Genomic DNA, 26,413 nt, shown 5'->3' with positions numbered 1-26,413 from the left:
AGACCTTCAATAAAATTTTGTTAAACAAATGAATGGATAAGTATATAAATTACTTGCCACCACTATTTTTTTTATTATACTTTAAGTTCTAGGGTACATGTGCACAATGTGCAGATCTGTTACATATGTATACATGTGCCATGTTGGTTTGCTGCACCCATTAATTCGTCATTTATGTTAGATATTCTCCTAATGCTATCCCTCCCCCATCCCCCCACCCCATGACAGGCCCCAGTGTGTGATGTTCCCCACCCTGTGTCCAAGTGTTCTCATTGTTCAATTCTCACCTATGAGTGAGAATATGTGGTGTTTGGTTTTGTGTCCTTGCGATAGTTTGCTCAGAATTATGTTTCCAGCTTCATCCATGTCCCTACAAAGGACATGAACTCATCCTTTTTTATGGCTGCATAGTATTCCATGTTGTATATGACTTGCCACCACTATTATAAGGTCTGATAACAATACCTTCATGCCTACTGATGTCTCAATTACCTCTTTCTATAACTTAGTGCCTTTCTCTAACTTAAACAATAGTTACATAAAATGCATGTCAGGGAAAGTATCTTTAATTATGGTCTTCATCATCCGTGTAGCTGAAATGCAAACAAAAGGAATACAGGTGAACATATTCCAAAAGATGCATGATTGGACTAAAAGGAGAATCTATATTTTGATTTAATTTTATGAAAAATTGTAATAACATGAGGAAAATACAGCACAGATATTCTAAGTAATTATAAACCACTGTGTAAACAGAATGATGTCTACAAAGCTATCTTTTTATTGTTTGACAGTTATAATTTTGAATGATGTGTTCCGTAATATTTTGTAAAGGTAAAATATCTCTGTATAATGACCTGGCTATTTTTCAGATGAAACCCATTTTGAGAACACTAACGGCAACACAGTATGCTTCTGAGAAAAGGCAGATTTACAGTTTTAATACTTCATAAGAGAGAACAAATAAGCTGAACTGTGTAATTTACACATGACAAAGTTTAATTATAAAGATATAATAAGCTATAAGTAATATAAAACTGCATAACTCAAGTAATTACAAAATAATGATTAACTCTTTCTCAAGGTGCCTAATAACCTGTCAGAACTAAAATAATAGATTTTCATTTAGGGTTTTTTGGGTTTCATTTGGTTTACTTTAAAATAATCGTAGATATCCACATTTCTTCTGATCAGAATCAAAGATTTTTGAGTAATCACAGGGAATAAATCAGCCCTCTCAAATGTTTTTAAACTGTATTGCTACAGATATAAAAATGTGGTGATACTGATGAGAGATCGACTAATAAAAAACACTTCGAGAATCCTCATCTATCTCTCTGCTTTTGCTATAGAGCAGCTGTGCCTCACAGATTCACATGAATGAAAATATTTAGACGAGAAACCACCCACTTAGTTTATTTTCCATATGACTTTCCTGTAATTATTTTGTAAACTGTTCATACAACAATACATAAAAACATCTGCAAAAACAGGTAATTAATGTGTCAAGCCAAACTAATGCATTTTTTATGGTGTCCATGCTTCGTCAACTGTAATTATAACTCTTTTTTAAGCAAATGATGATGTGTTTGTTGCAACGTGCAAGTGGTTATTTTAGATGCTCTGTTTACTGTTCATACAATCTGAATATAAAACTCCACAGCTACTTTACCCCACATCAATGCTTTACCTAGCTTTCTACTGAAGCAGGAAAGTGGCTCTCTTTTCCAAGCTATAATTTCCAGTAAACATTTTTGTCATTAAAACATGAAACTCTCAACATAAAATTTGACACCAAAATAGCCAACAATTCAAGAAGCATATGCCAGGAAACTACTCGTCCAGACTTTCTTCCTTCAGTGGTAACCCTGGGGAAAATTCAGCACTTTATGCCAATAGGCTATAGTATACTAAGCCTCCTGAGTATCAACAGAAGTTTAAGGGTTGTTTTTTTAATGATACAAAATCCATTCCATCTAGATCCACCAAACATATATCTTGAAATGACAAATGAAGAAGCAAAACATACTGTTTTGCATATGAACTTTGTCCTTCTTGAGTTCTCACTACATGAGAGATCATCATAACCATTATTATTACTACTACTATTATATAATAAGTAATAGTGTATACCAATAATCATTCCCAGATAGACATTCCTGAAGGTTCTGGGTAAGTAATCTCTAAAGTTCTATGTTTCCAGAACAAATTAAATCTAAGATTAAGGAAGAACTACAAGCCTACACTAGTTTTCTAGGGTTCCTTCTCTTCCTTAAAAAAGGAGGGCAATTTTTTACATATCTGTGACTACTAATTTTAGCACAGAAAAAACTTGGTAATAAACAACTCTCAGGAAACATGCCTTTCTGTCTGAATGTTTTCAAAAAAAGTTTAAAAAAAAATACTGGAGAAGTAGCTCTATGTGTCCAAGCTTATTTAACTCTTTATTTCGATACAAATCATTCTAAACTGGGCTACTCCATTTGTAAGTACAATAAACTAAAATTAATTAAACTTTGCTTTCCCTGAATATTAGCTACTGTGATATGTTATGGGTATCTGTCTATCCCCACCTTGTTCCCACAAAGATCGGGAAAGTATTATAACAACTTAAATGAGAGTTTCCCAGCTGCCAAGCCTGAGTTTTAGGTCAAATGGTTATTTTGAGGAAGCTGTAGGTGGGTCTGATCAAAACTGAACAGAGCCCTAGTTTCAAGGGTGCTGGAATAGCAAGCACATTGCCAAGACAAGGCAAGAGAACAAGATAGATCTTACCTGTTAAGGCTAGTAACCAAACACAGGGTGAGAGTAGCAAGAAGTCACAGTACTGATTTACCTGGCTTACACAGCTACAAATGTATTTAACTAGTGCCATTTCAAATGGCTGAATTCTATACATTGTCAAACATTAAGTGTACATAAACATGTTAATCAAAAGCAGAGATTATTTCTAAGACTGGATTAAAAAAAAACTATACAGGATCTAACTATATCCTGTCTATAGAAGATATACATTGATTCAAAGAAGCAACCAGGTTGTAAATAAAAAAATGGAAACATACCGTGCAAAAAGTAATCATAAGAGAGAACAGCTATACCAATATCTGACAAAATCTATTCTAAGAAAGAAAAGTTACCACAGACAATAATAGACATTTTATAACATTAAAAGGTTATATTAATCAGGAAACTATAACTATAAACATGCCTGCATCTACTAACAGATCTCCAAAACAGATGAAGCAAAAAATGACAGAAATAAGGAAACAGACAATTCAACAATATTCATCAGATATGTCTCAATAATCGCTAGAACAAAGAGACAGAAAATCAGTAATAATATAGAAAACTTGAGCAGTATTATCAACCAACCTGAATTCTGAATCTACAGAATACTCCATACAAAAACAGCAGAATATATGCTTCTTATAAGCACACACAGAACATTCTCCAGGACAGACCACGTACTTGGCCACAAAACAAGTCTCAATAAATGTAAAATAATTTAAATCATGCAAACTATATTCACCAACCATAACAATTAACTAGAAATCAACAATTAAAGGCCGGGCATGGTGGCTCACGTCTGTAATCCCAGCACTTTGGCAGGCCGAGGCGGGCAGATCACAAGGTCAGGAGATCGAGACCATCCTGGCTAACACGGTGAAACCCCGTCTCTACTAAAAACATAAAAAAATTAGCCGGACATGGTGGCAGGCACTTGTAGTCCCAGCTACTCAGGAGGCTGAGGCAGGAGATGAGGCAGGAGGTGGAGCCTGCAGTGAGCCGAGATCGTGCCACTGCACTCCAGTCTGGGCAACAGGGCAAGACTCTGTCTCAAAAAAAAAAAAAAAATTAAAAATTGGAAAATTCACATATATTTGAAAACTAAAGAATGCATATCTTAAAAATACATGAATCAAAGAAGAAACAAAGATAACTGGAAATTATTTCAAGCTGAGTGAAAATGAAAGCAATATATCTAAATTTATGGGATGTGGAAGCAGTGCTTAGAGGGACACTAATAGTTTTAAACACCAACATTGAAAACAAGATATCAAATTGATAACCTAAGCTTTTACCTCTTAAGATAAATTCTAAAAAATTAAAGCAAACCATATAAAACAGTGAAAGGAGAAAAAAATGAAACAGAAAATAGAAGAAATACAGAGAAAACAAATGAAATTTAAAAAATTAATTCTTCAAAAAGATCAACAAAATTGGCAAACTTTCAGGTAGACTGACCAAGAAAATCAAAGAGAAAACAGAACATACTCATCACTCCCAAACAATTCCTTATTTTGCCTATATTTTTAAAGATATTTTCATTGGGTATAGAAATCTCAGTTGACAGGTTTTTTCCACCTTTTTCTCTACTCAGATATATTCATCAATTGTCATCTCTCTTACATTGTTTTCAACACGAAATCTGATGACATTCATATCTTTGTTCATACATGAATTGTCTTTTTTCTTCTGCCTGCTGTTAATCTCAAGGTTTTCCCTTTATCACTGGTTTTGAGCAATTTGATTATCATGTGCCTTGGTGTAGTATTCATGTTTCTTTGCTTGGGGTTTATCGGACTTTTTGGACTTGCAAATTGTTTTTATTAAATGTGGAAAGCTTTCAGGCATTATTTCTTCAAATATTTTGTTTCCCCCTCTCCATTTTCACACGTCCCAGTTCCATATACAGAAATAGTTCTATAGTTCAGTGAAGTCCTTTTTTTTAATTTTTAAAAATACTTTTATCTCACTGTTTCATTTTGGATAGTTTCTATTACTATGTCCTCAAGTTCATTAATCTTTCCTTCTGGAAAATCTAATCTGCCACAGATCACAACCTTTGCATTCATTTCTGACACTGTGGATGCTACCTATAGAAGTTCAGTTTGGTCTTTTGTAATTCTTACATGTCTCCACTTAACTTTTTCAAGATAATAAACAAAGTTACAACAACACTTAAAGCCCTTACCTGATCATTCTAACATCTCTGTCAATTCCTGGTAGGATTAGATTGATTAATTTTCCCTCAATTAAGGGGGTATTTTTCCTGCTTCTATGCATGAATGGTAACATTTTGAATTTTACCATGTTGGGTGGTGGGTGTTTTTCTAACTACTATCAATATTTTTGAGCTTTGTTCTAGGATACAGAAATGGTTCTTGAATATAGTTTGATCCTTTTAGGTCTTGCTTTTACGATTTGAGAGAGTGGGGACGGTGGAACAAGACAGCAGAATAGAAAGCTCCACCAATCATCCCCAAGCCCACAAGAACACCAAGTTAACAACTATCTACACAGAAAAAAACACCTTCATAAGAACCAAAAATCAGGTGAGTACTCATAGTACCTGGTTTTAACTTCATCTTACTGAAAGGGGCACTGAAAAGATACAAAAAAAAAGCAGTCCCGAATTGCTGACGTCACCCCCTGCACCCCAGCTCCTACTGGAGCATGGTGCAGAGAGTGTCTATGAGAGCGTCTGGGGGAGGGAGAACACAGCAACTGTGAGGTACTGAACAGCAACTGCTGTCCTGTTAGAGCAAAAAGGAAAACTGGACCAAACTCAGCTAAAGCCCACCCAAGATGGGAGCATTTAAACCCACTCTAGCCAGAGGGGAATCACTGATCCTAGTGGTCAGAAATTGACTGCCTGCAAACCTCGCCAACAAGGGCTACAGCACTCTGTGTCTCCAAGTAAATTTGAAAGGCATTTGAGGCCATAAGGACTGCAACTTGTAGGCGAGTCCTAGTACTGAACTAGGCCCAGAGACAGTGGACAGGAGGACACATGGCATACTGAGATACTAGCTGAGGCAGTCAAGGGAGGGCTGGCATCACCACTCCCTTAACCCCAGGCTGCACAGCTCATAGCTCCAAAAGACACGCCATTCCTCCACTTGAGGAAAGGAGAGGAAAGTGGGGAGGACTTTGTCTTGCATCTTGGAAACCACCTCAGCCATAGCAAGATAGGGCACTGGTCAGAGTTGTGTGGTCCCTATTCCAGGTCCTAGTTCCCAGACATTTCTATACACACCCTGAGCCAGAAGGGAACCTGCTGCCTTGAAAGAAAGGACTTCGTGCTGGCAGCATTCATCACCTGCTAACTAAAGAGCCCTTGGACCCTGAATAATCAGCAACATTACCCAGGTACTACACTTACGGCTTCAGGCGAGCCTGTGAGACTTGCAGACTTTAAGTGAGACTCAGCACATTACCAATTGTGGTGACTACAGAGCAAAACTCCTTCTGCTTGAGAAAAGCAGAGGGAAAAGTAAAGGGGACTTTCTCTTGTACCTTAGATACCAGCAAGGCCACAGAAGGGTAGAGCACCAAGCGGGCACTTAAGGTGCCCCAATTTCAGGCCTTGACTATTGAACAGCATTTCCGGACCTGCCCTTGGCCAGTGGGGAACCCACTACCCTCAAGGGTGAGTCCCAGTCCAGGCAGCATTTACAACAAGCTGAGTTAAGAGATCCTGGGACTTAAGAGAATGCCAGCAGTATTCTGGCAGTAGTCCTATGGTCTGGGGTGAGTGGCTATGGGGTAAGGCTTGTCTGCCTTCAGAAAAGGGAAGGAAGAGTGGGAAGAACTGCACCTTGTGGTTTGAGTGCCCCAACAGTGCAATACAAGATAACACCGGGTAGACTTCTAAGGTTTTTGATTCTAGTCCCTGACTCCCTGACAGCACTTCTATATCCACGAAGGGATTGGGAGACTTCATCACCAGGAAGGGAAGGACACAGGCCTGGCTGGCTTTGCTGCCTGCTGACTGCAGAGTCCCAGGGCCTTCAGCAAACATAGGCAGTAGCCAGGGAGTGGCTATAACAGGCCTTGGACAAGACCCAGCACTGTGCCAGCTTCAGGTCTGATGCAGAGCAGTCATAGTGGTGGTGGCCCCAGGGGTGTCACTCCACCTCCAGCTTTAGGTGGCTTAGAACAGAGAGAGAGATTTTATATGTTTGGGAGAAAGTAAGGAAACAACAAGAGCCTCTGACTGGTAATCAAGAGAATTCTCCCTGATCTTGTCCAAGACCATCAAGGTGGCTGGTACCTCTAAGAGTCTGCAAGAACCATAACATTACCAGGCTTGTGGTGAGCCCTAAAGCAGAAACAGCTTAGATCACAACACACAAGTCCTTTCAAATGTCTGGAAAGCCTTCCCAAGAATTACATATTTAACATGCTGAAGAAATAAAAAAAAACATTTACCCTAGAAGAGTATAGCCAGCAAAAGTATCCTTCAAGCATGAAGGAAAAATAAACACCTTCCCAGACAAACAAAAGCTAACAGATTTCAATATCAGACCTGTCCTACAAGAAGTGCTAAAGGGAGTACTTCAATCAGAAAGAAAAGGACATTAATGAGCAATAAATGATCACCTGAAGGTACAAAACTCACTAGTAATAGTAAGTACACAGAAAAACACCAAATATTATAACACTGTAATGTGGTGTGTAAACTACTCTTATCCTAAGTAGGAAGTCTGAATGATGAACCAATGAAAAATAATAACTTTTCAAGACATAGGCAACACAATAAGACAGAAACAACAAAATGTTTAAAAGCTGGGGGACAAAGTTAAGGTGTAGAGTTTTTATTATTCTTCCTTTTGCTTGTCTGTTTATACAAGTGTTAAGTTGTTATCAAGTTAAAATAATGGGTTACAAGATATATTTGCAAGCCTCATGGTAACCTCAAACAAAAAAACATATAATGCCTCTGCCTCTGCCCCTGCCCCTGCCCCTGCCCCTGCCCCTGCCTCTGTGCCTGCCTCTGCGCCTGCCTTTGCCTCTCCCTCTCCCTCTCCCTCTCCCTCTCCCCACGGTCTCCCTCTCCCTCTCTTTCCACGGTCTCCCTCTCATGCTGAGCCGAAGCTAGACTGTACTGCTGCCATCTCGGCTCACTGCAACCTCCCTGCCTGACTCTCCTGACTCAGCCTGCCGAGTGCCTGCGATTGCAGACTCGCGCCGCCAGGCCTGACTGGTTTTGGTGGAGACGGGGTTTCGCTGTGTTGGCCAGGCCGGTCTCCAGCCCCTAACCGCACGTGATCCACCAGCCTCGGCCTCCTGAGGTGCCGGGATTGCAGATGGAGTCTCGTTCACTCAGTGCTCAATGGTGCCCAGGCTGGAGTGCAGTAGCGTGATCTCGGCTCGCTACAACCTCCACCTCCCAGCCGCCTGCCTTGGCCTCCCAAAGTGCCGACATTGCAGCCTCTGCCCGGCCGCCACCCCGTCTGGGAAGTGAGGAGCATCTCTGCCTGGCGGCCCATCATCTGGGATGTGAGGAGCCCCTCTGCCTGGCTGCCCAGTCTGGAAAGTGAGGAGCGTCTCCGCCCGGCCGCCATCCCACCTAGGAAGTGAGGAGCACCTCTGCCCGGCCGCCATCACATCTAGGAAGTGAGGAGCGTCTCTGCCCGGCCGCCCATCGTCTGAGATGTGGGGAGCGCCTCTGCCCCGCCGCCCCGTCTGGGATGTGAGGAGCACCTCTGCCCGGCGGCAACCCCGTCTGGGAGGTGAGGAGCATCTCTACCCGGCCGCCCCGTCTGAGAAGTGAGGAGCCCCTCCGCCCGGCAGCCACCCCGTCTGGGAAGTGAGGAGCCCCTCCGCCCGGCAGCCGCCCCGTCTGGGAAGTGAGGAGCGTCTCCGCCCGGCAGCCACCCCGTCCGGGAGGGAGGTGGGGGGGTCAGCCCCCCGCCCCATCAGCCGCCCCGTCCGGGAGGGAGGTGGGGGGGGTCAGCCCCCTGCCCGGCCAGCCGCCCCATCCGGGAGGGAGGTAGGGGGATCAGCCCCCCGCCAGGCCAGCCGCCCCGTCCGGGAGGGAGGTGGGGGCATCAGCCCCCCGCCCGGCCAGCCGCCCCGTCCAGGAGGGAGGTGGGGGGTCAGCCCCCCGCCCGGCCAGCTGCCCCGTCCAGGAGGTGAGGGGCGCCTCTGCCCGGCCGCCCCTACTGGGAAGTGAGGAGCCCCTCTGCCCAGCCAGCCGCCCCGTCCGGGAGGGAGGTGGGGGGGTTAGCCCCCCGCCCGGCCAGCTGCCCCGTCCGGGAGGTGAGGGGCGCCTCTGCCCGGCCACCCCTACTGGGAAGTGAGGAGCCCCTCTGCCCGGCCAGCCGCCCCATCCGGGAGGGAGGTGGGGGGGTCAGCCCCCCGCCCGGCCAGCCGCCCCGTCTTGGAGGGAGGTTGGGGGATCAGCCCCCCGCCCGGCCAGCCGCCCCGTCCGGGAGGGAGGTGGGGGGGTCAGCCCCTCGCCCGGCCAGCTGCCCCGTCCGGGAGGGAGGTGGGGGGGGTCAGCCCCCCGCCAGGCCAGCCGCCTCGTCCGGGAGGGAGATGGGTGGGGGGGTCAGCCCCCCGCCCGGCCAGCCGCCCCGTCCGGGAGGTGAGGGGCGCGTCTGCCCGGCCGCCCCTACTGGGAAGTGAGGAGCCCCTCTGCCCAGCCAGCCGCCCCGTCTGGGATGGAGGTGGGGGGGTCAGCCCCCCGCCCGGCCAGCCGCCCCATCCGGGAGGTGAGGGGCGCCTCTGCCCAGCCGCCCCTACTGGGAAGCGAGGAGCCCCTCTGCCCGTCCAGCCGCCCCGTCCGGGAGGGAGGTGGGGGGGTCAGCCCCCCGCCCGGCCAGCCGCCCCATCCGGGAGGTGAGGGGCGCCTCTGCCCGGCCGCCCCTACTGGGAAGCGAGGAGCCCCTCTGCCCGGCCAGCCGCCCCGTCCGGGAGGGAGGTGGGGGGGTTAGCCCCCCGCCCGGCCAGCCGCCCCGTCCGGGAGGTGAGGGGCGCCTCTGCCCGGCCGCCCCTACTGGGAAGTGAGGAGCCCCTCTGCCCGGCCAGCCGCCCCGTCCGGGAGGGAGGTGGGGGGGTCAGCCCCCCGCCTGGCCAGCCGCCCCATCCGGGAGGGAGGTGGGGGGGTCAGCCCCCCGCCCGGCCAGCCGCCCCATCCGGGAGGGAGGTGGGGGGGTCAGCCCCCCGCCCAGCCAGCCCCCCCATCCGGGAGGTGAGGGGCGCCTCTGCCCGGCCGCCCCTACTGGGAAGTGAGGAGCCCCTCTGCCCGGCCAGCTGCCCCGTCCGGGAGGGAGGTGGGGGGGGTCAGCCCCCTGCCCGGCCAGCCGCCCCATCCGGGAGGGAGGTGGGGGGGTCAGCCCCCCTGCCCGGCCAGCTGCCCCGCCCAGGAGGTGAGGGGCGCCTCTGCCCGGCCACCCCTACTGGGAAGTGAGGAGCCCCTCTGCCCGGCCACCACCCCGTCTGGGAGGTGTGCCCAACGGCTCATTGAGAACGGGCCAGGATGACAATGGCGGCTTTGTGGAATAGAAAGGCAGGAAAGGTGGGGAAAAGATTGAGAAATCGGATGGTTGCCGTGTCTGTGTAGAAAGAAGTAGACATGGGAGACTTTTCATTTTGTTCTGTACTAAGAAAAATTCTTCTGCCTTGGGATCCTGTTGATCTGTGACCTTACCTCCAACCCTGTGCTCTCTGAAACATGTGCTGTGTCCACTCAGGGTTGAATGGATTAAGGGCGGTGCAAGATGTGCTTTGTTAAACAGATGCTTGAAGGCAGCGTGCTCGTTAAGAGTCATCACCACTCCCTAATCTCAAGTACCCAGGGACACAAACACTGCGGAAGGCCGCAGGGTCCTCTGCCTAGGAAAACCAGAGACCTTTGTTCACTTGTTTATCTGCTGACCTTCCCTCCACTATTGTCCTATGACCCTGCCAAATCCCCCTCTGTGAGAAACACCCAAGAATTATCAATAAAAAATAAATAAATAAATAAATAAATAAATAAATAACATATAATGTACATACAAAAAAATAAAAAGCAAGAAACTAAATCCTATCACCTTCACTAGAGGAAGACAGGAAGGAAAGAAAGAAGAAAGACCACTAAACCACCAGAAAAAAAATAACAAAATGGTGTAAGTCCTTACTTATAAATAATAACATTGAATGCAAATGGACTAAACTACAATCAAGACATAGACTGGCTGAATGGATGAAAAAACAAGACCCATTAGTCTGTTGCCTACAAGAAACACACTTCACCTATAAAGACACAAACAGACTGAAAATAAAGGGATAGAAAAAGATATTCCACACCAATGGAAACTAAAAAATATTTTTTCTGATATATTTGTATCAGACAAAATAGATTTCAAAACAGAAACTATAAGAAGAGACAAACAAGGTCACTATATAATGATAAAGGGGTCAATTCAGTGAGAGGATATAACAATTTTAAATATATTTGCACCTAACCCTGGGGTACCCATATATTATAAGGCAAATATTATTAGTGCTAACAAGAGAGATAGGCCCCAATCTAATAATAGCTGGAGACTTCACCCCACTTTCTGCATTGGACAGATCTTCCAGACAGAAAAAGCAACAAAGAAACATCAGGCTTAATCTACACTACAGACCAAATGGATCTAATAGATATTTACAGGACATTTCATCCAAGGGCTGCAAAATCCACATTCTTTGCCTCACTACATTGATCATTTCCAAGGACAGACCATATGTCAGGTCACAAAACAAGTTTTAAAACATTCAACAAAAATTGAAATTGTTTCAAGGACCTTCTCTGACCACAATGGAACAAAACTGGAAATTAATGACAACAGGAATTTTGGAAACTACAGAAATACACGGAAATTAAACAATATGTTCCTGAATGACCAGTGAGTAAATGAAGAAGTAAAGAACTGAAAATTTCTTAAAACAAATCATAATGGAAACACAACATCCCAAAACCTATGGGATACGGCAAAAGCAATACTGAGAGGGAAGTTTAGAACTACAAGTGCCTACATCAAAAAAGAGGAAAAACTTCAAATGAGCATCTTACACAACTAGAAAAGCAAGAGCAAACCGAACCCAAAATGAGTAGAAAAAAATAATAAAGATCAGAGTAGCAATGAATGAACTGAAATGAAATAATACAGATGATGAGTGAAACAAAAAGTTGGATTTTTGAAAACGTAAGCAAAATTGACAAACCTTTAGCCAAACTAAGAAAAAAAAAGAATATACAAATAAATAAAATCAGAAATGTAAAAACAGACTTTATAACTGTTACTGCAGAAATTCAAAGGATCATTAGTAGCTAATATGTGCAACTATATGTCAATAAATTGGAAAGTCTAGAAGAAATGGACAAGTTCCTACTTATATACAACCTACCAAGACTGAACCAGGAAAAAACACAGAACCTGAACAGACCAATAACAGATAATGAGATTGAAGCCATAGTAAAAAATCTCTAAGTAAAGAAAAGCCCAGGACTGATGGCTTCATTGCTGAATACTACCAAAAATTTAAGGAAGAAATGATACCAATCCTACTCAAACTATTCTGAAAAATAGAGGAGGGAATACTTATAAACTCGTTCTATGAGGCCAGTATTACCCTGATATCAAAACCAGACAAAGACACATCCAAAAAAAAGAAAACCATAGACCAATATCTCTGATAAATATTGATGCAAAAATCCTCAACAAAATACTAACAAACTGAATTCAACAATACATTGTAAAGATCACACATCATGACCAGGGGGATTTACCCCTTGAGATGCAAAGATGGCTCAACATATGCAAATCAATCAATGTGAAACCTCATATCAACAGAATGAAAGATAAAAACCAAATAATTATTTCAACGGATGCTGAAAAAGCATTTGATAAAATTCAATGTCCCTTCATGATAAAAACCCCTCAAAAACTGGATATATAAGGAACACACCTCAACCTAATAAAAGCCATATATGACAGACCCAAAGATAGTATACTGAATGCAGAAAAACTGAAGCCTTTCCTCTTAGATCAGGAACATGACAAGGATGCCCACTTTTACCACTGTTATTCAACACAGTACTAGAAGCAATCAGACAACAGAAAGATATAAAGGGCATCTAAACTGGAAAGGAAGAAGTCAAATTATCCTTGTTTGCAGATGATATGACCGTGTATTTGGAAAAACTTAAAGAGACAAGAAAATTATTAGAACTGCTAACAAATTCAGTAAAGTTGCAGGATGCAAAATCAATGTACAAAAATCAGTAGCATTTCTATATGCCAACAGTGAACAATCTGAGAAAGAAATTTAAAAAGTAATCCCATTTACAACAGTCACAAATAAAACTGAATATCTAAGAATTAACTTAACCAAAAAAGTGAAAGAGCTCTACAATGAAAACTATAAAACACTGATGAAAAAAAACTGAAGAGGACATCAAAATATGGAAAAATATTCCATGTTCATGGATTGGTAGAATCAATATTGTTAAAATGTCCATATGACCCACAGCAATCTACAGATCCAATGGAATCCTGATCAAAATATCAATGACGTTCTTCACAGAAATAGAAAAACAACACTAAAATTTATATGGAACCACAAAAGATCCAGAATAGCCAAAGTGATCCTAAGCAAAAAGAAGAAAACTGGAGGAATCACATAACCTGACTTCAAATTATGCTACAGAGCCATTGTAACCAAAACAGCAAGCTACCAGCATCAAAACAGACACATAGATGAGTGGAACAGAATAGAGAACTCAGAAAGAAATCCACACACCTACAGTGAACTCATTTTCGACAAAGGTGCCAAGAACATACACTGAAGAAAAGACAGTTTCTTCAATAAATGGTACTGGGAAAACTGAATACCCATATGCAGAAGAATGAAATTACACCCCTATCTCTTGCCATACACAAAAATCAAATCAAAATGGATTAAAGACTTAAAGTCTAAGAACTCAAACTATAAAACCACTACAACAAAACATTGGGGAAAATCTCCAGGATATTGGTTTGGGAAAAGATTTTTTGAGTTATACCCCACAAGCACCAGCAATCAAAGCAAAAAATGGACAAATGGCATCACATCAAGTTAAAAAGCTTCTGCACAGCAAATGATACAATCAAAAAAGTGAAGAGACAGCCCATAGAATGGGAGGAAATATTTACAAACTACCCATCTCACAAGGGATTAATAGAATATATAAGATGCTCAAACAACTCTATAGGGAAAAAATCTAATAATCCAATCAAAAAACGGGCATAAGATATGAACAGACATTTCTCAAAAGACATACACATGGCAAACAAACATAAGAAAAGGTGCTCAACATCACTGATCATCAGAGAAATGCAAATCAAAACTACAATGAGATATTATCCCCGCCCAGTTAAAATGGCTTATATCCAAAAGACGGGCAATAACAAATACTGGTGAGGATGTGAAGAAAAGGGAACCCTGGTACACTGTTGGTGGGAACGTAAATTAGTACAAGCACTATGTTGTACATAGTTCAACAGTTTGGAGGTTCCTCAAAAAAAATAAAAATTGCAATCCCACGGCCGGGCACAGTGGCTCACACCTGTAATCCCAGCACTTTGGGAGGCCGACGTGGGCAGATCACAAGGTCAGGAGATCGAGACCATCCTGGCTGACACAGAGAAACCCCGTCTCTACTAAAAATACAAAAAATTACCCGGGCATGGTGGCGGGCGCCTGTAATCAACCCCAGCTACTCAGGAGGATGAGCAGGAGAACTGTTTGAACCCAGGAGGTGGAGGTTGCAGTGAGCCAAGATCGTGCCACTGCACTCCTGCCTGGGCGACAAAGCAAGACTCTGTCTCAAAAAAAAAAAAAAAAATTGCAATCCCACTGCTACGCATACACTCCAAAGAAAGGAAATCAGTGTATCAAAGAGATATCTGCACTCCCATATTTACTGCAGCACTATTTACAATAGCCAAGATTTGGAAGCAACCTAAGTGTCCATTAACAGATGAACAGATAGAGAAAAAATGGTACATATACACAACAGGGTACTATTGAGCCATGAAAAAGAATGAGATCCTGTCATTTGCGACGCCATGGATGGAACTGAAAATTATTGTGTTAAGTGAAATAATCCAAGCACAGAAAGACAAACATTGCATGTTCTCACTTATTTGTGGGATCTAAATATTAAAAAAAAAAAAAAATGAATTCATGAGCACAGAGAGTAAAAGAATGGGTTACCAGAGTCTGGGAAGGGTAGTGGGGGGGTTACAGGGAGGTGGGATGATTAACATATACCAAAAAAAAAAAAAAAAAAAAAAAAAAACAGAATGAATGAATAAGACCTATTTGATAGTACAACAGGGTGACTATAGTCAATAATAACTTAATTGTACATTTTTTAAAAACATAGCGTGTAATTGGATTGTTCATAACTCAAAGGATAAATGCTTAAGGGGATGGATACCCCATTCTCCATGATGTACTTATCTGACATTGCATGCCTGTATCAAAACATCTCATGCACCCCATAAATATATACACCTACTATGTACCTACCAAAAAATTGAAAAAAATAAAAATTATGTATTTTTTAAAAGACTTGTGGGAGTGGGCCTAATTATTATTCCACAGTACTATTACTCCTTCTATGTATTCTACCTAATGCCACATGATTGAGGTTTCTGAGACTACTTCTTAGGAAGACACTATTCCCAGCTCTGTGTGAGCAACCAGAATTGTGTCTCGTAATCCTTTTGGGATATCTTTTTTGGTCTCGAGTAGTTTCCCCACAGCATACACTAATGAGTACTCTGTGTATATTCCAGGAGACACTACCAATCTCTGTACCATTATCTCTCCTCTAGACAACACACTGGACATCAGGCAATAATTCTAAATATCGTATCCTGCAAGCTCTAACTACAAACTCTAACTTCATTCTTCCTAGCCTCTCAACTTCATCTTCTTAACTCAGAGAGAACGTTCTGCCAGGATCCAAATGGCTTCCTTCTCCCTGCACCACAACCTAGAAATTCAAGACAGCAATCTGGGACAATCATGAGCCTAACTTCATTTGTTTCCTCTCAGAAATCACTGTCTTTCATTACCTGATGCCCAGTGTCTCGAAAATCATTGTTAAATATATTGTCTGGTATTTTTAGTTGCTTCAGGAAAGACTGTTACCTATCTTGGTCAGCAGTATAAATCTTTTTTTTTAGATGGGAGTCTTGCTCTGTCACCCAGGCTGGAGCGCAGTGGCGCGATCTCAGCTCACTGCAACCTCTGCCTCCCAGGTTCAAGTGATTCTCCTGCCTCAGTCTCCTGAGTAGGTGGGATTACAGGCACCCACCACCATGCCCAGCTAATTTTTGTATTTTTAGTAGAGATGGGTTTTCACCATGTTGGCCAGGATGGTCTCGATCTCCTGACCTCGTGATCCGCCTGCCTCAGCCTCCCAAAATTCTGGGATTACAGGCGTGAACCTCTGCACTGGCCCTGAATCTTTTTTTTTAATGTGACTACTAGAAAATTCAGGATTACATATGTGTTGATATGATATTGCTATTGTACACTGCTGTTGTAGACAGTTATTAAAGTATGTAATCCTGAAATCACCTAAGGAGAATAGGGTAAAGAGCCTAAGAAGGTTGATAACCAAGTCACGATGAATTTCAGCATTTAAAGATCAAGTGGGGAAGAACAAGCTGGTAAAGTAGACTTAGAAAGGTCAAGAAAGGGGGCCAGGTGCAGTGGCTCACACCTATAATCCCAGCACTGTGGGAGGCTGGGGCTGGAGTACTTCTTGAGGACGGGAGTTCAAGACCAGCCTAGGCAACATAGTAAGATTCCCATTTCTATGAATTTTTTCACAGCTATAATCCCAGCTACTCTGAAGGCTAAGGTGGGAGGATCACTTGAGTTCAGGAGTTTGATGCTGCAGTGAGCTATGATTGTGCCACTGTACTCCAGCCTGAGCAACAAGGCAAGACCCTGTCTCTAAAAAATAAAAAACTAAAGAACTCCAACTGCCAGAAAATTAAACAATATGCTTATGCTATTTATGACATACTTCTAAGTAATTCACAGGTACAGGAGGCAGAATAATGATGGGACTCTTGAAGATGTTCATGCCCTAAGCCCAGAACCTGTGTCTATGTTATTTTACGTGGCTAAAGAAACTTTACAAATGTGATTAAGGTTAAGGGTTTTGATATAGGGCAATTATCCTAGATTATTCACATGAGCCCAATCCAATCATATAGCTCCTTAAAACCAGATAACCTTTCCTGGCTGAGGATCACTGTGAAATGTAACTATGAAAGAATGGTCAGAGCGATGCAAAACTGCTGGCTTTGAGATGGACAAAGGGGACCATAAGCAAAGGCATGCAGGTGGCCACCAGAAGCTAGAAAAGACAAGAAAACAGTTATTTTTATGTGCAGTTTCCAGGAAAAAAAAAAAAAAAAAGGTGCTGCTCACACCTTGATTTTTGCCCAGTGTGGTTCACGTCAGATTTCTAACCTACAAAACAATAAAATTAAAAATTTGTTTTGAAAATCATTAAGTTTATGTTAAGTAGTTAAAGCACCAATAGAAAACTAATAAAATGAGATTTAAAAACGAAAACAAAACATGAAAAATATTTTGAACTGATAATAACTAAGGTTTGACATATCAAAATCTATAGGAGGTAGCTAAACAAATACTTTATGGAAAATTTAATAATCCTAAATGTATATTAAAAAAAGGCTGAAACTCAAAGATGTAATCTTCTAACTCAAAAATAAAAAGAATATTCAGACTTCATGTAAGTAGAATGAGAAAGGAATACAAATCTATAAAATAGAAAACACAGAACAGCAAAATAAAAGTTAAAAGTTAATTCTTTTGAACATTAAAAAAACTGATAAAATGCTAACATGAGTGAATAAGAAAAAAAAATACATAACAAATAACCAAAATCCAGAAAAACCCAACAGACATCCAAAAGATTAGGAGACACTATAAACACTTCTACAATTAAATTTCACCTTTTATGTGAAACAGACAAATTTCTTGAAAAATAGAACTTGCTGAGTTTCACGAAAGAAGAAATATACAAAACAGTTGAATATCTACTAAAGAAATTGAATCTACTATTAAAATCCTTCCCATAGAATATGTTAAGGATGATAAATATATTGTGGATATGAAGAAGAATGACCCTATATTCTAGAGATATAAACTACACAACGGTAGTAAAGGCCACGATGTCTCTAATTTACTTTTAAATTTGCTAAATATACCTAATCTAAGAAAAATAAAAATATATATACAGGCATATCTTTGGAGATATTGTAGGTTCTGATCCAGACCACTGCAAAAAAGTGAATTTGATGATAAAGCAAGTCACACATTCTGTTTCCCGGTGCATATAATAATTACGTTTACACCATTCATAGTGTACTACGAGTGCAATAGCATTATGTCTTTAAAAACAATGTACATACCTTAATTTAAAAATATTGCTAAAAAATGACAACGATCATCCGAGCCTTCAGTAAGTCGCAATCTTTTTGCTGTTAGAGGGAATACTGCTTTTATGTTGCTGGCTGCCGACTGATCAGGGTAGTGGTTGCTTAATCGCCATCTACCGGATGGCAGCCCAAACTTCAACATCAAAAATACTTTGCAACCCTGTGAAACCAATGCCAAGAAATCAGCCACAAGCAAAGACCCTTTACAAACTTTCATCCACCTGAAAACATCCAGAAATAAAGCCAATTGACTATACTCAAATTACACCACAGTTAAAGGAAGATCAGCCCACACAGATGAGAAAGAACCAGTGCAAGAACTCTGGCAACTCTAGGAGCCAGAGTGTCTCCTTACATCCAAAAGACCGTACTAGCTCCCCAGTAATGGTTCTTAACCAGAAGAACATAAACAGATTAAATGCCCCAATTAAAAGGCACAGAGTGGCAAGTTGGATAAACAGCAAGACCCAACTATATCCTATCTTCAAGAGACCCATGTCACATGCAGTAACACCCACAGGCTCAAAGTAAAGGAATGAAGAAAGATCTGTCAAGCAAATGGAAAACAAAAAAGAGCAGGGTTCCCATTCTCATTCCAGAAAAAAAACTGATTTTAAATCAACAATGATCAAAAAGGACAAGGAAAGGCATTACATAATGATAAAGGGTTCGATTCAACAAGAAAACTTGACTATCCTAAATATATATGCACCCAACAATGGAGCACCCAGATTCTCGAAACAAGTTCATAGAGACCTATAAAGAGACTTAGATAATCACACAGTAATACTGAGACACTTCAACATTCCACTGACAGAACTAGACAGATAATTGAGGCAGAATATCAGCAAATATAATCACAACCAAAACTCAACGTTTGACTAAATAGACCTAACAGACATCTACAGAACACTCCACCCAACAAAACTAATGAAAAAAGAAAAAAAAAAAGATACGACATACTAGAATTTCTGGGACATAGCTAAAGCAGTGTTAAGAGTAAAGTTAACAGTGCTAAACATCCACATTAAAAAGTCAGATCTCAAATTAGCAGCCTAATGTCACACCTAGAGAAACCTGAAAAACAAGAGCTAACCAATCCCAAAGGTAGCAAAAGAAAAGAAATAACCAAAATCAGAGCAGAACTGAATGAAATGGAGATGAGAAAAACCATACAAACGACTTTTTTAAGTTGGTTCTTTGAAAGAACAAATAAGATTCAGACTTCTAGCTAGACTAAAAAAGAAAAAAAGGGAAAATATCCAAATAAACACAATCAGAAATGACCAAAAGGACATTACTACTGACCCCACAAAAATTCAAAAAATAAAAATAAAAAAACCTTCAGAGACTATTACCAACACCTCTATGCACACAAACTTAGAAAACCTAGAAGAAATGGGTAAACTCCTGGAAACATACCACCTCCCAAGACTGAACCAGGAAGAAACTGAGTATCTGAACAGATCAATAATAAGTTGCAAAACTGAATCAGTAATTAAAAACCTACCAAACAGAAGGCCCTGGACAAAATGAATTCATAGCCAAATTCTGTCACATGTATAAAAAAGAGGGGATGGCCAAGCATGGTGGCTCATGCCTGTAATCCCAACACTTTGGGAGGCTAAGGCGGACAGATCACCTGAGGTCAGGAGTTTGAGTCCAGCCTGGCCAACATGATGAAACCCCGTCTCTACTAAAAATACAAAAATTAGCCAGGCATGGTGATGGGCGCCTGTAATCCCAGCTACTTGGGAGGTTGAGGCAAGAGAATCACTTGAACCCGGGAGGGGGAGGTTGCAGTGAGCCAAGATCACGCCATTGCACTCCCACCTGGGCAATGAGTGAAACTCTGTTTCAAAAAAAAAAGAAAAAAAAAATGAGGAGGTACCAATCCTACTGAAACTATTCAAAAAAAAAAAAAAAATCAAGGGATTCCTCCCTCATTCTATGAGGCCTGCATAATTCTGATACCAAAACATTTCAAACCACTATCCTTGATGAATGTAAGATGCAGAAATCCTCAATAAAATACTAGCAAAAGGAATCCAGCAGCACATCAAAAAGCTAATCTACCATGCTCAAGTAGGATTTATTTCTGGGATGTAAGGTTGGTTCAACAGATGCAAATCAATAAATGTGATCACCACATAAATAGAACTAAAAATGAAAACTACATGATCAGCTCAATAGACACAGAAAAGGCTGTCGATAAAATTCAACATCGCTTTGTGTTAAAAATCCTCAATGAACTACTCATCGAAGGTGCATACCTCAAAATAATAAGAGTCATCCATGACAAACCCACAGCCAACATCATACAGAATGGACAAATGCTGGAAGCATTCCCCTTGAGAACCAGAACAAGACAAAGATGCCATCTCTCACCCCTCCTATTCAACACAGTACTGGAAGTCCCAGCCAGAACAATCAGGCAAGACAAAGAAATAAAAAGCATCCAAATAAGAAGAGAGGAAGTCAAATCATCTTTCTTCGCAAGATACTATACCTAGAAAACCCCACAGTCTCTGCTCAAAGGCTCCCAGATCTTATGAACAACTTCAGCAAAGTTTCAGAATACAAAAATCAATGCACAAAAATTAGTAGCATTTCTATACATCAATCACGTCTAAGCTGAGAGCCAAATCAAGAATGCAGTCCCATTCACAACAGCCACAAAAATAATAAAATACCTAGGAATACAGCTAACCAGGGAGGTAAACGATCTCTACAATGAGAATTATAAAACACTGCTGAAAGGAATCAGATATGACACAAACAAATAGAAAAGCATTCCATGCTCATGGATAAAAGAGTCAGTATTATTAAAATTACCATACTCCCCAAAGCTATTTACAGATTCAATGCTATTCCTATCAAACTATTAATGACATTTTTTCACAGAATAAGAAAAAAAATTCTAAAATTCATTTGGAATAAGAAAAGAGCCTGAATAGCCAAAGCAATCATAAGCAAAAAGAACAAACCTGGAGGCATCACACTACCCAACTTCAAATATACTACAAGGCTATAGTAACAAAAACAGCATGGTACTGGTACAAAAACAGACACACAGACCAATGAAACCCTTCTTTATTTCTAGGTTATGGAACCCAGAACACCTATAACTATCTGATCTTTGACAAAGCCAACAATAGCAAGCAATGGGGAAAGGATGGCCTATTCAAAAAATGGTGCTGGGATAACTGGCTACCATATGCAAAAGATTGGAAATGGACTCCTACTTTTTACCATATATAAAAATCAACTAAAGATGGATTAAAGACTTAAAAGTAAAACCTAAGACTATAAAGACCCTAAAAGAAAACCTAGGAAATACCATTCCACACATCAGCCCAGGCAAAGACTTCATGACAAAGACTCCAAAAAAATTTGCAACAAAAACACTGACAACTGGGCCTAATTAAACTAAAGAGTTTCTGCATAGCAAAACAAACTATCAACAGAATAAACAGACAACCCATAGAACAGGATAAAATATTTGCAAACTATGTATCTGACAAAGGTCTAATATTCAGAATCTATAAGGAACTCAAATCAACAAGTAAAAAACAACCCCATTAAAAAATGGGCAGGGACATGAACAGGCACTTCTCAAAAGAAGACATACTAGCAGCCAACAAACATATGAAAACATGCTCAATATAACTAATCAGTAGAGAAATGCAAATCAAAACCACAATGAGACAGCATCTCATACCAGTCAGAATGGCTGTTATTACAAAGTCAAAAAATAACACATGCCAGTGACATCGCAGAAAAAATGGAATGCTTATATACTGCTGGTGGGAATGTAATTTAGTTCAGCCACTGTGGAAAGCAGTCTGGAGATTCCTCAAAGAACTGAAAATAGAACTACCATTCAATCCAACAACTCCATTACTGGGTATATGCTCAAAGATACAAATTATTCTACCATAAAGACACATGCACACATGTTTATCACAACACTATTTACAATAACAAAGACACGGAATCAAGCTAGATGCCCATCAACGGTGAACTGGATAAAGAAAATATGGTACAGATATACTACAGAATACTAAGCAGCTATTTAAAAAAATGAGATCATGGCCTTTGCAGCAACAAAAGATGGAACTGAAGGCCATAATCTAAGTAAATTAATATAGGAGCAGAAAACCAAACACTGCATGTTCTCACTTATAAGTGGAAGTTAAACATTCAGTACACATGGACACAGAAGGGAACAATAGACACTGAGGCCTCTTTGAGGGTAAAGGGTGGGAGGAGGGTGAGGACTGGAAAACTACCTACCAAATATTACACCGATTACCTGGGTGACAAAATTATCTGCACACCAACTCCTGTGACACACAATTTACCTATGTAACGAACCTGCACATATACCCCTTGAACCTAAAATGAAAGTTGTGAAGAAAAAAAAGAAAATGGCCCCAAAAGACTTGCTCAATACAGTGTTGCCACAAAACTTCTATTTGGTTTTAAAAAAAAAAATCTGCAAAGTGCTATAAAGTACAACAAAACAAGGTAAGCCTGTACATAAATGAATAAATATTAGCAATTAAATCCAATGATATATAAAAAGGATAATCCATATCACAACCAAGTAAAGTTTATTTTAGGCATACAAAAGTTGTTGAACATTCTGAAATCAATCTGTGTGAACTCTTGGGCCTAGAGGACAACAATGGCCACCAAATTTCAAATGTCTCCACATAACCTCTCAAGAAACAAACAAAAAATCAAGAGCACAAATAAATCCACATATGGCTCACATTTTCAGCACCACTAGGAAACAAAGATACCATGACCTTTGGATTATCTGTAAATAGAAAAACCAACCAAACTACAACAGCACTCCCAGGGCCCCCTATTGTAAGCCAATGGATGTGGTGACCAGAGGAAGAAAAGCTTAAGAGATCCCTTGGTGGGGGTGGGGGGAAGGAAAAAAAAAAAAAAAAAAAAAAAAAAATATATATATATATATATATATAGAGAGAGAGAGAGAGAGAGAGAGAGCAAACTGGACTTAAACCAAAGCACAGGAAAAAACAAACGAACAAACAAACAAAACAGAAAAAGGAAGCCCAACTAAATGCCAAACACAGGTTGGCATCTGATAGTTAAAGGACAGGCTTTGGCAAGGCACGGTGGCTCACGCCTCTAATCCTGGCGCTTTGGGAGGCCAAGGTGGGCAGATCACCTGAGGACAGGAGTTTGAGACCAGCCTGACCAACATGGAGAAACACCGTTTCTCCTAAAAATACAAAATTAGCCAGGCGTGGTGGCACATGCCTGTAATCTCAGCTACTCGGGAGGTTGAGGCAGGAGAATCCCTTGAACCTGGGAGGCAGAGGTTGTGGTGAGCCGAGATTGCGCCATTGCACTCCAGCCTAGGCAACAAGAGTGAAACTCCATCTCAAAAAAATATATAAATATAAATAAAATTTAAAAATAAAAAAAACAGGCTTTATAGGCTCGAAAGTGAAGAAAATAAAAAGTGAGAGCCTTGGTAAAGCCTTCCTACTGGGGAAGAATCAGATATATAGAAAATGAGTGATACCCCTTCAAGGTGTGGCAGTGAAAGGCCAAAGGGAAAGAAGAAAATGAGAGAAAGGTCAGGATCCTACAGAAATAAAAGAGAAACAAGACCCCAACCCATTCCCCATCATCATCCATAATGGAAATTGCAGAGAAGAGGGTGGAAACAACAGAAAGCAGGCTCTCAAAACTGGAACCCTGCCCTTGTAAGGAATGGGAATAGAAAAAAGCAGACCTGAGCCAGGTGCCATGGCTCACACTGAAGTCCTGGCTTTTTGGGAGGCTGAGGCAGGAGGACTGCCTGAGACCAGTTCAAGACAGTCTGGGCAACATAGCAAGACTCCTTCTCCAAAATATTTCTTAAAAGAAAAAGCAGACCTCTTGCACTCAACACTGTTAAAGATCAGAATAATAATTTCCTTTGAAGAGGGGAGATGAAGAAGCTTCTATGGTGCTGGCCAAATTCTGCTCCTTGATCTGGATGCCAGTCACATGGGAGTGTCCCATGTGTGAAAATACATTCAGCTATATGATTATGATATTTACTTTTCTGTATATATAATATACTTCCGTTAAAAGTTTAAAAAAAGTAGATACCATGCCGGTTCTCTAGAGAATTATCATCTAAGAAACATGTAAGAGAACACACATGAACAACCAAAACAATCATTTTTGTTTTTTAAGGCCAGGGGAGAAAGGATAATAAACGGCACTGTTGGGCCATGACAGATAAGCAGAAGATAACATTTCAATGTGTTTTTTTTTTGTTTCTGCCTAACATCCCTTCCTCATTTTGATCCACTCCTTCCACATTCCATGGTTATGCCGTTCAGTTCATGCAGTGCATCAGGGATAGCTCTGTCCACCTTCCCAGGGATGACCAAATAACCTATGCCTAATCAGGTTACAAAGACAGAGGTGAAAGCTATGTGACGCATGCCAGGCCAATCCTCCCTGAGGCTTTTATTGGAGCTATGAGGGAAAATACCCTCTTCCTCCAGGATCCTGAGGACAAAGTCTTTGTAAACCTGGAGCTAGTCAGGGGTTACCTTTCATGCCATGAAGATAAAATCAAATAAGAGAAAGGGGATAGCAAATACAGGGTGTGAACAGAGACAGGCAAATAAAAAGACAGAGACCTGTTGGCATTTCTTGAACACCTGAATTGAGCTATATGTAATCATTTAAGTGGAATAAAACACTCTTTTTCAGATGGACTAAAACAATGTTTTCTATGTGAGCCTCTTTGAGTTGGTTACGATTTTGCTACCTGGAGCTGAAAATCTAGTCTTAACACAAAACCTGAAAGAGAATTACCTGAGTATAGGATAATTTAAAAAGCAACTCTCTTTTCATTTGTGAATATTGAGAACAGAGAATCTGTAAGTCTTCTCTCTGAACCTATGAAATAGTTCCTTCTGAGTTCACTGCATTAGTAACTGCTGACTCCTATTGGCAGACACTTCCTGGATCAACTAAAGAAAGGAAAAAACAGAATGCTGATGAGGAGGGAAGACAGAAGACTAAGTGGCATATTTAAATCATTTCAAATCTCTATTTTTAAAAATCTTAATTAGACTGTTTTAAAATGCTTCCTTCTAGCCAGTTTCAAAACAGTTAAGATCTGAAAAATTCTCAACTAAGGCAATTTATTAAATCATAGTGAAAAGTACACATTTTATTTTAAAACAGAAAAAGCTGTGGAAAATTTTCATGACATTCAGGTCACAGGTCACAACTGAAGGAAAAAATAAAATAAAATAAGAAATATTCTGTATTTGTTTAATACTCCTCCCTATTGAAAAATAAGATCTCAACTTCCAGACAGAGACGGATAGAAGGCTCATACCTCAATAAGCAGTCCCTCTTTTCCAACCATATTACAATGATAAACAAAATACACAAGAGATACCAAAAGGCACAACTGGGTTCAAACTTAAGATAAAAATCTCTGTGGCAAGTGGGATTTATCCTAGGAATTCCAGAGTGGTTCAATATAAGAAAAGCAATGTAATATACCACATTAATAGAACAAAGAAGAAAAAAAGCACAATTGTTTCAAGTGATGCAGAAAAAGCATTTGTCAGAATCCAACACCCCTGCAAGAGAACATACAAAAAACTAGGAATAGAATAGAACTTCTTCAACATGATAAAGGGCGTCTATGAAAAACCAACAACTAACATCATATTCCACGGTAAGACTGAAATCTTTCCCCCTGAGATATCAGGAACAAGACAAGAATGTCTGCTTTCCCAATGTTCTTGTACATTGTACTGGAAGTTCTAGCCAGAGCATTAGGTGAGAAACAGAAATAAAAGCCATCCAAATTGAAAAGGAAGAAGGAAAACTACCTCTATTCTCAGAATTATAATCTTATACAGTTGCCCTTCAGTATCCACAGGGGATTGGTTCTAAGATTCCCTAAATACCAAAATCACATGACTTGCTTCCCTTTATCAAACCTAAACTTACTACGTTTTTCATATTATCTATCTATTTCCAAAGCCAAAAACTTTATCCTTTGGGTTTCTAAATATTTGAGTAACTCTTATTCATGGAATAAATCAATG

The 26,413-nt window shown here is 40.8% G+C and overlaps 1 protein-coding gene across 46 annotated transcripts in view, besides 1 other annotated feature; it reads right to left on the bottom strand.

Moving 5' to 3' along the window:
- The window catches only part of RPS6KC1 (ribosomal protein S6 kinase C1), an 811,495-nt gene that overhangs the window by 701,665 nt on the left and 83,417 nt on the right, over positions 1-26,413 (bottom strand). The window lies entirely within an intron of this gene.
- Positions 8,108-8,783: an enhancer, noted in NCBI's record as "H3K27ac hESC enhancer chr1:213325631-213326306 (GRCh37/hg19 assembly coordinates)". NCBI's record gives its function as "activates a minimal SCP1, AML or CMV promoter by ChIP-STARR-seq in primed H9 embryonic stem cells {active_cell/tissue: H9 hESC(primed)}" and the evidence as "EXISTENCE:reporter gene assay evidence [ECO:0000049][PMID:30033119]".

The sequence above is a fragment of the Homo sapiens genome, chromosome 1, assembly GCF_000001405.40.
Source record: "Homo sapiens chromosome 1, GRCh38.p14 Primary Assembly".
Lineage (NCBI taxonomy): Eukaryota > Metazoa > Chordata > Mammalia > Primates > Hominidae > Homo > Homo sapiens.
Note: the sequence above shows the minus strand (reverse complement) of the source record. Positions and strands in the feature narration are given on the sequence as shown.